This window comes from Homo sapiens, chromosome 8 (genome assembly GCF_000001405.40).
Source record: "Homo sapiens chromosome 8, GRCh38.p14 Primary Assembly".
NCBI lineage: Eukaryota > Metazoa > Chordata > Mammalia > Primates > Hominidae > Homo > Homo sapiens.
The window spans coordinates 57,915,536-57,928,927 of NC_000008.11; the positions used below are offsets into that span (position 1 = coordinate 57,915,536).

At 36.8% G+C, this 13,392-nt stretch overlaps 1 long non-coding RNA gene across 1 annotated transcript in view, besides 2 other annotated features; it reads left to right on the forward strand.

Moving 5' to 3' along the window:
• Positions 1–13,392, forward strand: part of LOC105375856 (uncharacterized) — a 103,037-nt gene that overhangs the window by 60,058 nt on the left and 29,587 nt on the right. The window lies entirely within an intron of this gene.
• Positions 3,350–3,862: an enhancer, noted in NCBI's record as "H3K4me1 hESC enhancer chr8:58831444-58831956 (GRCh37/hg19 assembly coordinates)". NCBI's record gives its function as "activates a minimal SCP1, AML or CMV promoter by ChIP-STARR-seq in naive H9 embryonic stem cells {active_cell/tissue: H9 hESC(naive)}" and the evidence as "EXISTENCE:reporter gene assay evidence [ECO:0000049][PMID:30033119]".
• Positions 3,863–4,373: an enhancer, noted in NCBI's record as "H3K27ac-H3K4me1 hESC enhancer chr8:58831957-58832467 (GRCh37/hg19 assembly coordinates)". NCBI's record gives its function as "activates a minimal SCP1, AML or CMV promoter by ChIP-STARR-seq in naive H9 embryonic stem cells {active_cell/tissue: H9 hESC(naive)}" and the evidence as "EXISTENCE:reporter gene assay evidence [ECO:0000049][PMID:30033119]".

Genomic DNA, 13,392 nt, shown 5'->3' on the forward strand with positions numbered 1-13,392 from the left:
AGATCAGAAGATACTATCCACATGCAGTACAAACAAAAAAACATATTAGAAAGTACAAAAGAGATTAAGCGATGTGGAAGATAAAGTGAAAAGGTCTATTATATTTCTAATTAGAGTTCTAGGAGGAAATAACAAAAGAATAAGGAAGAGGAAATATTTGAAGACAAATGGATGAGAAGTTTTCGAAATTACTGAAGCATATTAATCTTCAGATCCAAGAAACCCCAAAACACATTTAGATACTTTATTCCCAAATTATAGAATATCAAAAAATAAAAAGAACTAAAAGCAACCAGAGAGAATAGACTGATAACAAGAGAATAATTTATACCAGTCACAGAAGGGCAAACACTACATGATTCCACTTGAATGTGCAATCTGAGTCAAACTCAGGAGCAGAGAGCAGAATGGTGGTTGTCACAGGCTGCAAGGAGAAGCAAATGGGGTGTTGTTGCTGAATGGATATAGAGTTTCAGTAATGCAAGATGAGTAAGTTCTGGAGATCTTCTGTACAACACTGTGGCAACAATATTAACTAACAATATTTTACTGTACACCTAAAATTCTGTTAAGAAGGTAGACTTCAAGCCGTGTTCTTACCAAGATAAAATAAACACAAAAAATGAAAATTTCATACTGAAAGTTGATTTCTCAATAGCAACAATGGAAATAGAAAGAAATGGAACAATATTTTAATCAATATGAGAGAAAATAGCTCTCAAATTATAATTTCATCTTTAGTAAAACCTTTTTATAAGAACAAAGACAAAATCAACATTTTTCAAATAAGAAAAACCTAGGAGAATTTACTACTAGATCCTCACTAGAGAACATTCTAAAGGAGACACTTTTTAAAAAAGAAAATGTGCTAACATGGAAGCTTTGATATGCAAGGAGAAATGATAAACAAACATATTGGTAAATATATGGAAATTTCAGTATTTATTGATCATAAAAGAATAATAATATCAAATTTGTGGGGCTAAAAAACAAGATAGAATTAGGATAAAAAAGTGAAAGTGTATAGAATTTTGGAGGGGATAATCGTGTTTAGAATTATTTGAAAGACAGTAAACATATTGATTTTATCCAAAGAAATTGCTAAACATGCGTGTTTAAACTAGGTAGAATAGCAATTAAAGAGTTGACATAAGTATATAATTCTCAAACCAATGTTGATTTTTTCAAAATTTTAAGAAAAAACAATCTCAACCAAAAAGAAGGCAAATAAAGGTAGAGAGAAGGGAAGGGAGAAAAAAGGAAACAGAGAAACATGGAAAAATAGAATTCATGTAATAGGAAATAAATATAAACATATGAGAAATCACAATAAAAGTAAATGGTTACACTATTGAGTTAAAAGATGAAAATTAATCAGATTTTTAAAAAATGTTGTTTAATCAGATTTTTTAAAAATGTTGTTTATAAGAAAGACCAAAAGAGGAGTGGCAGACTATAGCCCGTGGGCCATGTCTGACACCCATGTCTGAGAGCCCGTGGGCCAGGTCTGACACCCAGCACATTTATACATGACTCTTTGGCTAAGAATGGTTTCTACAGTTTTAAATGGTTGAAAAAAGATTATGTGACAGAAACTACATGTGACCCACAAGAGCTAAAATATTTAACGTCTGGTTCTTTAGAGAAAAAGTTTGCCGACTCCTGCTCTAAAATATAAATCATAAAATCCAGAGAGGAGACAGATTGGAGAAAGATACATTAATTTTATAACAGACCGTGATTCTCCTTCAATGTCCAAATATTAACTAGACGCATGCACATCTTGCTAAATACCATGTTCGTTAACCTCTCTTATAGTTAGATATGGCCAATAAGACGTGAACTGAAGTGACTTACGTAGCTTCCAGGTCAAATCTTCAAATACATATGCCTCCCACTCCACTTTACCTCCTTCTCAACAGAACAGAGAAGAGGGAGTCAGGGTTGGGGTGAACCATCTTTGACCATGTGAATAAGGTCATCACGAGAAGGCTGGCAAAGCATTGAGACAGAAGGCACCTGGGCTCTATAATCCCTGTACTACCTACCTTCAGATCATTGCAGATTAGGGAGAAATAGTCTTCTCTCTTATTTAAGCCATTCTTAGGTGGGAATCTGTGTTACTGTAATTTAGCCTGTATCTTAACTAGTACATCAAACAAACGCTAACTAAAAGAAAGTAAGGTGGGCATAATAATAACAAACAAAACAGACTTTAGAGCAAAAAGGGATCAAAAGTCTCATAATGATATAAGGCTCATTTTACTGGAAGATATAACAATTCTAAAATAACATATGACTCAATTCTGCACTTACATAACTTAATGGAACTACAAGAAATAAATAAATCCATTATCCCAATGGAATACTTAATACCTCTCTCTCAGTACTCAATAGATAAAGCAGACAATAAAATTAGCCATAAAAGATTTAGAAAGAAAAATTAATATGTTTCATCCAATGGGCATATGGAGAATATTACATCCCATAATTAAATAATTTACATTCTTTTAAAGCACAAATAGAATAGTTTTGAAAACTGACTACATTCTAAACCATTAAGTTAACGTTAACAAATTTCAAAGGATGGCAAGATAGATACAGAGTGTATTCTCAGACCACAATGCAAATTAGTTACAAGTCAAAGACAAAATAAACCAAGAGAAAAAAACATGTTTACAAATCTGGCAAAATTCTAAACAAGTCAGAGATCAAAGAAGAATAATGCAAAGTATAAAACATTTATAAATGACCAGTGACTAAAATGTTTTCTAACAAAACTTGTGAAATGTAGCAAAAGCATTACTTAGTGACAAATCCATAGCCTTGTTAAAAGATAAGTGGCCAGGTGCGGTGGCTCACTCTTGTAATCCTAGCACTTTGGGAGGCCGAGGTGGGCAGATCACGAGGTCAGGAGTTCCATACCAGCCTGACCAACATGGTGAAACACAGTCTCTACTAAAAATACAAAAATTAGCCAGGCATGGTGGCACGTGCCTGTAATTCCAGCTACTCGGGAGGCTGAGGCAGGAGAATGGCTTGAACCCGGGAGGTGGAGGTGGCAAGGAGACGAGATCACGCCACTGCACTCTAACCTGGGCGACAGAGTGAGGCTCCGTCTCCAAAAAAAAAAAAAAAAAAAGAAAATTGTATTAGCACGTTTTCACGCTGTTGCTAAAGCATACCTGAGACTGGGCAATTTACAAAGGTAAGAGGTTTAATGAAGAACTCACAGTTCTACATGGCTGTGGAAGCCTCACAATCATGGCGGAAGAGAAGGAGGAGCAAATCACACCTTACGTGGACGGTAGCAGGCAAAAAGTGCTTGTGCAGAGGAACTCCTGTTTTTAAAACTATCAGATCTCATGAGACCCATTCACTATCAAGAGAACAGCACTGGAAAGACCTGCCCCCGTGATTCAATCATCTTTCACCAGGTCCCTCCCACAACACATGGGAATTATGGGAACTACAGGGTGAGATTTGGATGGGGACACAGAGCCAAACCGTATCAATAAGGTTCGTTAAAGGTAAAACCGTGATTCTCATACAGATATAAAACTGACTTGTGTTAAATATTTAATTCTTTAATCAGTAAGAAAACCAAGAAGATTCAAATGAGAATCCAAAGAACAGACACATTTTTAGATTAGGAATATTGAAAAGAATGTGTAAATTGACGTAAAACTTATTTTCCGGCCGGGCGCGGTGGGTCACGCCTTTAATCCCAACACTTTGGGAGGCCGAGGCGGGCGGATCACGAGGTCAGGAGATCGAGACCGTCCTGGCTAACACAGTGAAACCCCATCTCTACTAAAAATAAAAAAAAATTAGCCAGGCGTGGTTGCAGGCGCCTGTAGTCCCAGCTACTTGGGAGGCTGAGGCAGGAGAATGGCCTGAACCCGGGAGGCGGAGCTTGCAGTGAGCCGAGATCGCGCCACTGCACTCCAGCCTAGGCTACAGAGCTAGACTCCGTCTCAAAAAAAAAAAAAAAAAAAAAAGAAAAACAAACAAACAAAAAAACTTATTTTTCACAGAGGAGAAAGGAAGTTAAACCTCTACCAGGCAGAACAGAATCTGCATGTCTACAATCAAAAATTATTTTGCATTGCTATCAGTTACCTACAACTTGCAGAGTTGTAAAATAATTCCTAGTAAATGAAAGTATAGAATCAGATAACCCGGAAGGGTGTGCTATTTATAGACAATGCATAGGTTTCCATAGAAGGGCAATTTTTTTCTTAAAGTCACCCTCCTTCTGATCAAAAATACTAAAACAGAAGGATTATTCATGATCACAAAGCAAGGTTGGTCTCATTAGCTTTGGCCTTATTTACAGGGTTGTAGCAATAGTGTTGATTTACCATATAGGCCTATTAGAGTTTGTTTTGTTGCAATAAACTAAACACATAACTTATAATATTTCGGAGGAAAAAATTGCCCAGCAAGATAAACCCAAAAAAGTAAAAGATAAAGTATATAAAGAAAAGAGCAAAAAAAAAAAAAAATTAACTAAAATGCAAACAGAGAGTTTCTGCATCTGCCCAACTTGCAGAGAGCTGGAAGACCCTTGTTCCCCATTAGAACAAAATCAACCATGCTCACTTTAAATTCACGACTTTTTTTGAACCTACTGAACAACTGAGACAAGCATGGGCTGGCCAGACAGTGTGAAAGCTCTGGGGGCTGCAGAAATTGACTCTGTGTCTACTTGGAGACTCTTTCTCTACAAACCCCATTGGCTGCTCACAGGAAAGATTAAGAAGAGCTCTAAGAAGCACCAGGGTGCGGACATTAGGGAGGACAAGAGCAAGAGAGCAAGAGAGGCAAGAAACTACTGCTGCTCTCAAGGCACCTGTGAAAACTCCTGGCAGCTGGTGGAAGGGAACAGAGGGAAATACTTTGCCTAGGGAAGGAGTAGTATTACACTGAGCCCAAAACTTTAGCCAGGGAAAAGGCAGAACTGAGAGAGCAGCACCCCCAAGCTCCAGATAAGCAATGCATGCCTAAAACCGAGGATTAATCAAAACAACAGACTACTTTCTGTAGCTCCAAGCTAAATTACAGCAGAATACCAATGGGAGGGAACAGAAGAACAAGAGTATTCAAATAGATCTTCTTTGAGGTGCAAAAGGAAGACCTAAAACTCAAGAGTTCAGCAGACAGACTCTGACCCTAAACAAAAGGTACCTCTAGCAGAGCAATTTCTAGCCTGTGGTACACTGAGAGTTACCATAGCAACAACAAATCTCAACCACAGGCAACCATATTCTTCTAGGCCATGAAACAAACCTCAACAAATTTAAAAGAATGAAAATCATACAAACTGTGTTCTCAGATCATAATGGAATGAAATTGAAAATCAATAACAGAAGGATATGTGGAAAATATTCAAATGTTTGGATATTTAAAAGATTATTCTAAGTAACCATGGGTCAAACAAGAAGTCTAAAAAAAATTTAAGAAATACTTTGAACTAAATTCAAATTAAAATATAACACATCAAAATTTGTGGCCTGTAGTTAAAGTAGTGCTTAAACAGAAACTTATAGCATTAAATGCTTATATTAGAAAATTTAAAAGTTAAGAATTAATAATTTAAGCTTTCACTTTAAGAAATGAGAAGAGCAAACTAAACCCAAAGAAATCAGAAGGTCAGAAATAAGATAAGTGCACAGAATAATGAAATTGAAAACAAAAGTCAGTAGAGAAAATCTATAAAAACAAAGTTAATACTTTAAAAACATTAAGAATATTGATAAATCTTTAGCCAGATTGACAAAGGAAAAAAAAAGATGACACAAATTACCAACTTCAGGAAGAAAAGAGGATATTAGTACAAATCCCAAAAATATTAAAAGAAGAATAAAGGAATATTACAAAATTATTTGCACATACATTTGACAACCTGGTTGAAATGGGTCAATCCTTAAAAAATTCAAATTACCAAAATGAAGTAGATAACTTCAGTTGTGCTGATTCTATTCCATTAATTGAATCCCTGCTTTAAAAACTTTCAGGAAGAAATCTTCATGCCTAATATCTTCTCTAGTGAATTCTACCAAACATTGAAGGAAAAAATAATATAATTATATATCATCTTTTCCAGAAAACAGAAGAGGAGAGATGACTTCCCAACTCATTTTATGAAGCCAGCATTACCCTAATACCAAATCTAGTCAAAAATATTATAAGGAAACTACAGACTAATAATCTTCATGAACATATATACACACACACACAAAATATTTAATACAATGCTAGCTAATCAAGCCATTAATATATAAAAATGAAAATACATCAAAACCAAGTGTGGCTTATCCCAGGAATGTAAGACTAGTTTAGCATTCAATAATTTGTCAATGTGTGCACAACCTCCTGTGAATCCATAACTTACTTTTTAAAAAAAATTAAGGTTAAATTTAAAATAAAATAGAAACAAGCAGGAAAAAAACATTAATGCCAATGCAGAAATTATTTGATGAAATTCAATAGTCCTTCAAAATTAAAACTCTGAGAAAACTAGGAACTGAAAGAAACTGTCTGAATCTGATAAAGGGCTTCTACTGCTAAAGGGCTTCATCATATTTGATGGTATAAAACTGAGTACTCTCCTCTACAGTTTGGAACAAGGCAAAGATGTCTTCTCTTACCAGTTAGACTCAACATTGTACTCAAAGTTCTAGCCATTGAAATACAGCAAGAAAACAAAAATTTTATATTTCAGAAAAGAATAAAATGGTCTCTGTTTTTAGACAACAATACTGTCTGTATAGATCTCCCAAAAAATCTATACAGTTTCTAGAACTAATAAATGAGTTTAGCATGTTTGCAGAATACCTACATACAAATATCAATTATATTTTATATACTCTCAATAAATAATAAGAATTGAACATTTTTAAAAGCAATAAAATGTATAATAACACCAAAGAGATACTTAAGTGTAACTAATATAACATAGGCATGATTTTTCTGCTGAAAACCACATACAAATAATAATGAAAGAAATCAGAGACTTAAATAATAAAGATATACCATGTTCATGGTTTGAATCATGGAATATTATCAAGTTGTTGTGTCACTCAGGGTACAAACAGAGAAGCAAAATCAGAAGGAGAAAGATTGGAAGATCAGATAGATAGATAGATAGATAGATAGATAGATAGATAGATAGATAGATGATAGATAGATAGACAGACAGATAGACAGACAGATAGAAACAACCACAATAACAACAATTGCCTTATGCAGAAGTCTGAAATCCAAGTAGTAGTCAAGACAGGACCACCACTGGCAAAGCTGGAACTCACAAGCAAGTGCCAAAGCTATTATCCACAGGCAACCAGGGAAAGATCATAAGAAAGTAGAACCTCCACAGATGCTCTACTAAAGTTGCTGTTCACAGGCATATTTCTTCTTTCTTCTGGGGAAGCCTCAGCCCTGCTATTAAAGCCTTTCAGTTTCTTGAATCAGATCTACCCAGATTACCCAGGAAAATCATCCCCAAATTAAGTCACTGACTACATCTTTAGGTAATTATACGTAGGCTTTTATTACACCTGCAAAATATTTTCACAGCAATACCTAGATTTCTGTTTTAATAAATGTAGAAAGAATGAGAGAAATAGAAAATCACCATCAAAACAGCAGCATTATAACTGCTGGAGGCAAAATCCACTATGAATGGTAAAATTAAAGGGTGAAAGAGTAAGCACAAACAAGATATTTGCATAGTTCCAAATGTTCCCCCAATGTGTGTAATAATTACAAATGGAAAAAATAATAAGTTTACAGTGGAGAATTCTGACAGACATCACCTCAGCCAGGTGATCAAGGTTAAAATCACCAGCAATATGTATCAAGAGCATGTGTCCGGACATGATGCACTAAGCAGGGCACATACATCACCTCAATGGAATCCTTTCTAACAATGCATAGCCTCCATCTAATTATAAGAAAGCATCAGAACCTAAAGCAAGAGGCAATTTACAAAATAATTGACCAGGCTTATCCAAAGTCACAATGGATACGGAAAGACTGAGGCACTATTACAGGTTGGAGGAGATCAAGAGACATGACAGCTGAATACATGTGGGATCTTGAATCAGAAAAAGACACTATAGAGAAACTGGTGAAATGTAAAGAAGTTCTGTTATTTGGTGAATCGTATTGTACCAAGGTTAATTTCTTAGTTTGATAAATGTTGTATAGTTATATAAGATGTTAACATAAAGGTAAGCTGGGTGAGGAATATACAATAAGTTTGCAATATTTTTCATCTCTTTTGTAAATTTAAATATTGCAAAATTTTTTAGTGTAAAGAACAAACAAAGTGAAAATGAATTGTTGGAAAAGAGTAATAAAATAAACATACTCCTGGCAAGGTAAATGCCAAGAAAGCACTGCAGAAAACACAAGTTCTTGTCCCCTGTATTTTCCCCGAACTCCAATTCCAACTCAGTAGGTTTAGGATGCACCACAGGCCCAGGCATTAGATATTTCAAGATCCACAAGTGTTTCTGGGAGCCATAGAGACACTCATTTTGAATCCTGTTTCTGCACTTCATCCCAGTACCTCCATTCACTGTTTTATATTAACTCTCTCTTTATTTCTTTTTGGCCCCTCCTCAAGGTGCTGTTAGGTGAGCAGCAGGTTGATCACAGACTATTAGTGACTTCTAGGCTATTCTCTTCCAAACAACACTCCTAATCATATGAGGTAATGTGTAGAGAAGTGAGAAGGCTTTGGGAGATCCAAAAAGGTTTGACCAATCTCTGAGTTGATAAGATAGGCCCAAAGTCAGTGGAAGCAGCATCCTGTTTTGGTACTAGGAATGAGCATGAAACCAGAAAGGAAGAAGGTGTCTAAACTTTAGTCAGACTTTGCTGAAGCATAGATTCTAGATTATGGGGTAAAATGCACTTAACATTGTCCAGACGCCATACTTCACTTGTTCCATGTTTTCCTAACACCCCCCCACACCCCACCCCGCAACACACACACACAAAAATAGTTTTATCTCCCTTTTAGAGGTTAGAATACGTTCACTTGGTGAGCTTTGGTAACCTGCTTGCAGTTACACAGCTACCAAATTGCAAAGACAGGGTTTGAAGCCCAGTTTTTCCTAATATTTAAGCCATAATAATTTTACTGTATCTAAATATCAGCTAATATAATGCTTCAATTTATAGTTTACAGTTGAGTAGGTGAAGTGGTTTTTACTTATTTTACTAGCTCTACAGCTGGCTTCACATTCTTTATTTCTCAAGGATGAGTCTTTATCTTTAAAACTAAAAAATGAGCTGCATCCTCCCACAAAACTCTCTTCTTACAAAAGGAATTTTCATAAATCCTATCTTGATTGACTCATCCTAAGTGCGTAGAGTAAGATGAGATGCTTTCCAAATCTATAAAACTAGCCCTGCTCAGGGTTATTATGCATGAGTCCTGACAGCAATTCTGTCTTTTCAAAGTGGCATTGTACCTCGAATTCATTTGGCATAGCAAGGCAGTCTAGTCTGAGCCTTACTGATGAATTATGTCCCCGGTGGACTTTCTTTCTAAGTCATGTTGAATTAGATTTAATCGGAGAACTTCTCCAGCTGGCTTACTTTCTTATACCAAGTATTGAATTGAGTCTCTCTCTTCTGACTCCCTTGGTTCTTTTCAGATGAGAATAACCCATCTAATCAGTTCTACATCATTCTTGGATTTGAATAAAACCTTAAAGGCCTTTGTGACTTAGCACAGTAATAAATACCTCAACTGTAGGTAAAAGGAGCAAAGATAGAGCTGCCAGCACTAAAGGAAAAGAGGAAAAAGCGAGTAGACAGATCTTTGTGGTTAATTGCAAACTAAGTCTGTCTGACAAGAAAAGAGGATCTCTCTGACATATCTTTTCCCATATGATCTTAGCACAAGGTTATGAAATATCTCTTAATAGTAACTGCCAATGAATATTGCCATTGTCTTGATATGTATTATTCAAAAATGGGTGTATGGAGGTAATATTCTATGCTAACTTTTTTTTTTTTTTGAGACAGGCTCTCACTGTTTCCCCCAGGCTAGAGTGCAGTGGCATGATCAGGGCTTACTGTAGCCTTGAACTCCCTGGTTCAGGTGATCCTCTCACCTCAGCTTCCTGAGTAGCTGGGACAGTAGGCACACACCACCACACCCAGCTTATTTGTGTATTTTTTTTGTAGAGGCAGGGTTTCACCATGTTGCCCAGGCTGCTCTCAAACTCATGAGCTCAACTGATCCTCTCACTTCAGCCTCCTGAGTAGTTGGAACTACAGGTGTGCACCACCATGCCAGCTAATTTTTATATTTTTATAGAGACAGGGTCTCACTATGTTGCCCAGGCTGGTCTCAAACTCCTGGGCTCAAACGGTCTGTCTGCCTCTGCCCTCAAAGTGCTGGGATTACAGGTGTGAGCCACTGCACCCAGCCTCTGTGCTAACTTTTTATATGAATATTTATTCATCTCCCCAAATTCAACATATTCTAGATTAAATTTAGCAACATCCTTCCTCCTACTTTGCCTGAAACTGTTTCTCTTTCTTAGCTTATCTATCTCTGGCAAGGGCCTCACAGTTCCCATATTGTACTTGAAGTCACTTCTAATTTTATACTTGCCTTTAAGAAGAAGTACAGTTGCTAAGGGAATGGAATTTGGAGCAAGACCTGAGTTCAAATCCTAACTCTACCCCGATTGGTTGTGTGCCAGTGATCAAGTTATTTTAATCAATTTGAGCCTGAGTTTATTCATCTGTAACTTAGGGATAATAAAGTTGGTCTCACAGTGGTATTGTAAGGTTTAAATGAGATAAAGTGCAAAAACATCGAGCACGAGATTAGATGTATGTTAAGGGCTTTAAGTATTGAGGTTCTATATTAGTCAACCTGGGCTGCTATCACAAAATGCCACACACTTGGAGGCTTAAACAACAGAAATGTATTTTCTCACTGTTCTGGAGGCCAGAAGTCTGAGATCAGGGTGCCAATATGGTCAGGTTCTGGTGAAGACTCTCTTTCTGGCTTTCAGACAGTCACCTTCTTGCTGTGTCCTCACAAGGCAGAGACAGAGAAAAGAGAAAGAGAAAGAGCTCCAGTGTCTGTTCTTACAAGGACACTAATCCTGTCATGAGAGCTCCACCCTCATGACCTCATCTACACCTATTTACCTTCCATAGGCCCCACCTTCTAATACCATCACAGTGGGGCATCTAAATACATCAGCATATGAATTTGGAGAGGACGAAATTCAGTTCTCAACAGGTTCTTACTATGAAAAATAGAGAAGAGGAGCATTTGAGGAATGTGTCTGCTTTTCTACCCCACCATGTAGTTAGTGAGTCAATCTGAAAGCTGCCACAAAACAGTGCAATCTATTTCAAAGAAAGGACCCTATGGAAATAAGAAGAAGAAAACATTTTGGTTTATATCTATGCCTTTAAGAAAGCCAACCAGGCTGATAGGAGAAATGATAACATTATCCAGAGTTGATTTCTTAAAATAGGATCAGTTGTGGCAACTGGTGACTCCTGAAAGGCCAACAGGTGGGCAGAGAAAGGCTCCAAAAGTGCAGTCCTTGCATTGGCTCTCAGGGCAGTGCAATGCCTACTTCCAGGGGATTCTTAATTATACATTTGACTAAAGGGTAATTATTGGTAACCTACTACATGACTTACGAAAGTCTAATGATGTTAGATATTCATAAAATATGTGCATGCATTTGTTTAATAATAACTCTAACTTATTATTCTACTAAAAAGTAACATCAAAAGTAAGTAAACTGTAAAGTTCGTACCATGAGCAGTAACAGAGTTAAAATTCCTGCAATTTTCAAGAAAGTTGTTTCGAATTGTGAACACAATCTACGTTTTTCGCCAGTTACTTATGTAAAGGATATTTCTTTCTTTTTTTTTTTTTTTTCTTTCTTTTGAGACAGAGTCTTGCTCTGTCACCCAGGCTGGAGTGCAGTGGTGCGATCTCGGCTCACTGCACCCTTTGCCTCCCGGGTTCAAGTGATTCTCCTGCCTCAGCCTCCTGAGTAGCTGGGATTACAGGTGCCTGCCACCACGCCCAGCTAATTTTTGTATTTTTAGTAGAGATGGGGTTTCACCACCTTGGCCAGGCTGGTCTCGAACTTCTGACCTCGTAATCCACCTGCCTCAGCCTCCCAAAGTGCTGGGATTACAGGTGTGAGCCACCGCACCCAGCCTGGATATTTCTTTTACATAATACTGCCTGCATAGCAAGTGCTAATAAGTAGTAATTCTTATTATTGTTATTTAATTCTTTATAACCATTCACTTGCCAAATCTTAGATATCCTTCCTCTAAAGTTTTCCCCTCTTCATTTTTGCCACAACCACCTTAACCTAGGCAGGCTTCGGCTCATAGCTAGATGACTCAATACTTCCCTAGTAACTTCAGTCTCCCTGACTTCTCTGCTAATCCACCCGACAGCTAAATCAAACTTCCTTAAATACCACCTTAGAGTAGCCCTCATTGTCTCTAACTTTCTTAAGATCTACATCCATAATCTGCCCTTCCAATTCAGTCTTCGTTAATTCCCAGTTTGCCAATACAAGTTATCTGTTCCCAGCAGGCCAAGGTCTTCACAGATTCACAGGGGTGATGGGGATTTCACGAGTGATGTTCTGAGTTGGAAAGCTCTGCCTCTTTTACTCCACCTATCCCAATCTTGCCAGTCATCAAAATCCATGTCAACAGCCTCCTCTTCCCAAAATTATTTCCAAAGCATTCCAGTGTGCATTAATTTCCCCTCTACCAAGCCTCAAAGCACTTAAAAACACTACCATCGATTCAACATTGAATTATGCATTGTCTAAAAAACTTTTTTAACCAATCCATGTATACTACTCATATATTCTTTCCTCACAAATAGGTAATTCTCCCAAGGATAGCAAATATGTTTTATTCACCTCCTACATATTAAAATAGTGGTGGGCATGTAATATAATAAGTTGTCACATAATGTACAATTATTACTATCAGGCAAAGTGTTAGCATTTTAGCTGAATCATTTAGTTTAATACAAAAATTCTTTATGGTAGATATTTATTATTCTCCATTTTAAAAATGATTATTCTGAAGTTTTTAAACAAAGTTACTCGCCTAAGGTCAAAGAGCTGGTAAACAGCAAAACTAAGAGTTGATTCATGGAATGTTTGACCCCTGAGTCTTGATTATAGCAGGTATTCAGCACAAATTAGATTGTTGGCAGCTCTTTAATACCAGTTTGCTCTAATACAATTTCAATAACTTCCACACCACCAAACACAGAGCAGAGTGTCAAGTCTCAATAAATACTTGTTGGTTGATTGACTATAGGCAAATGTCACATAATTAGCCTAATAA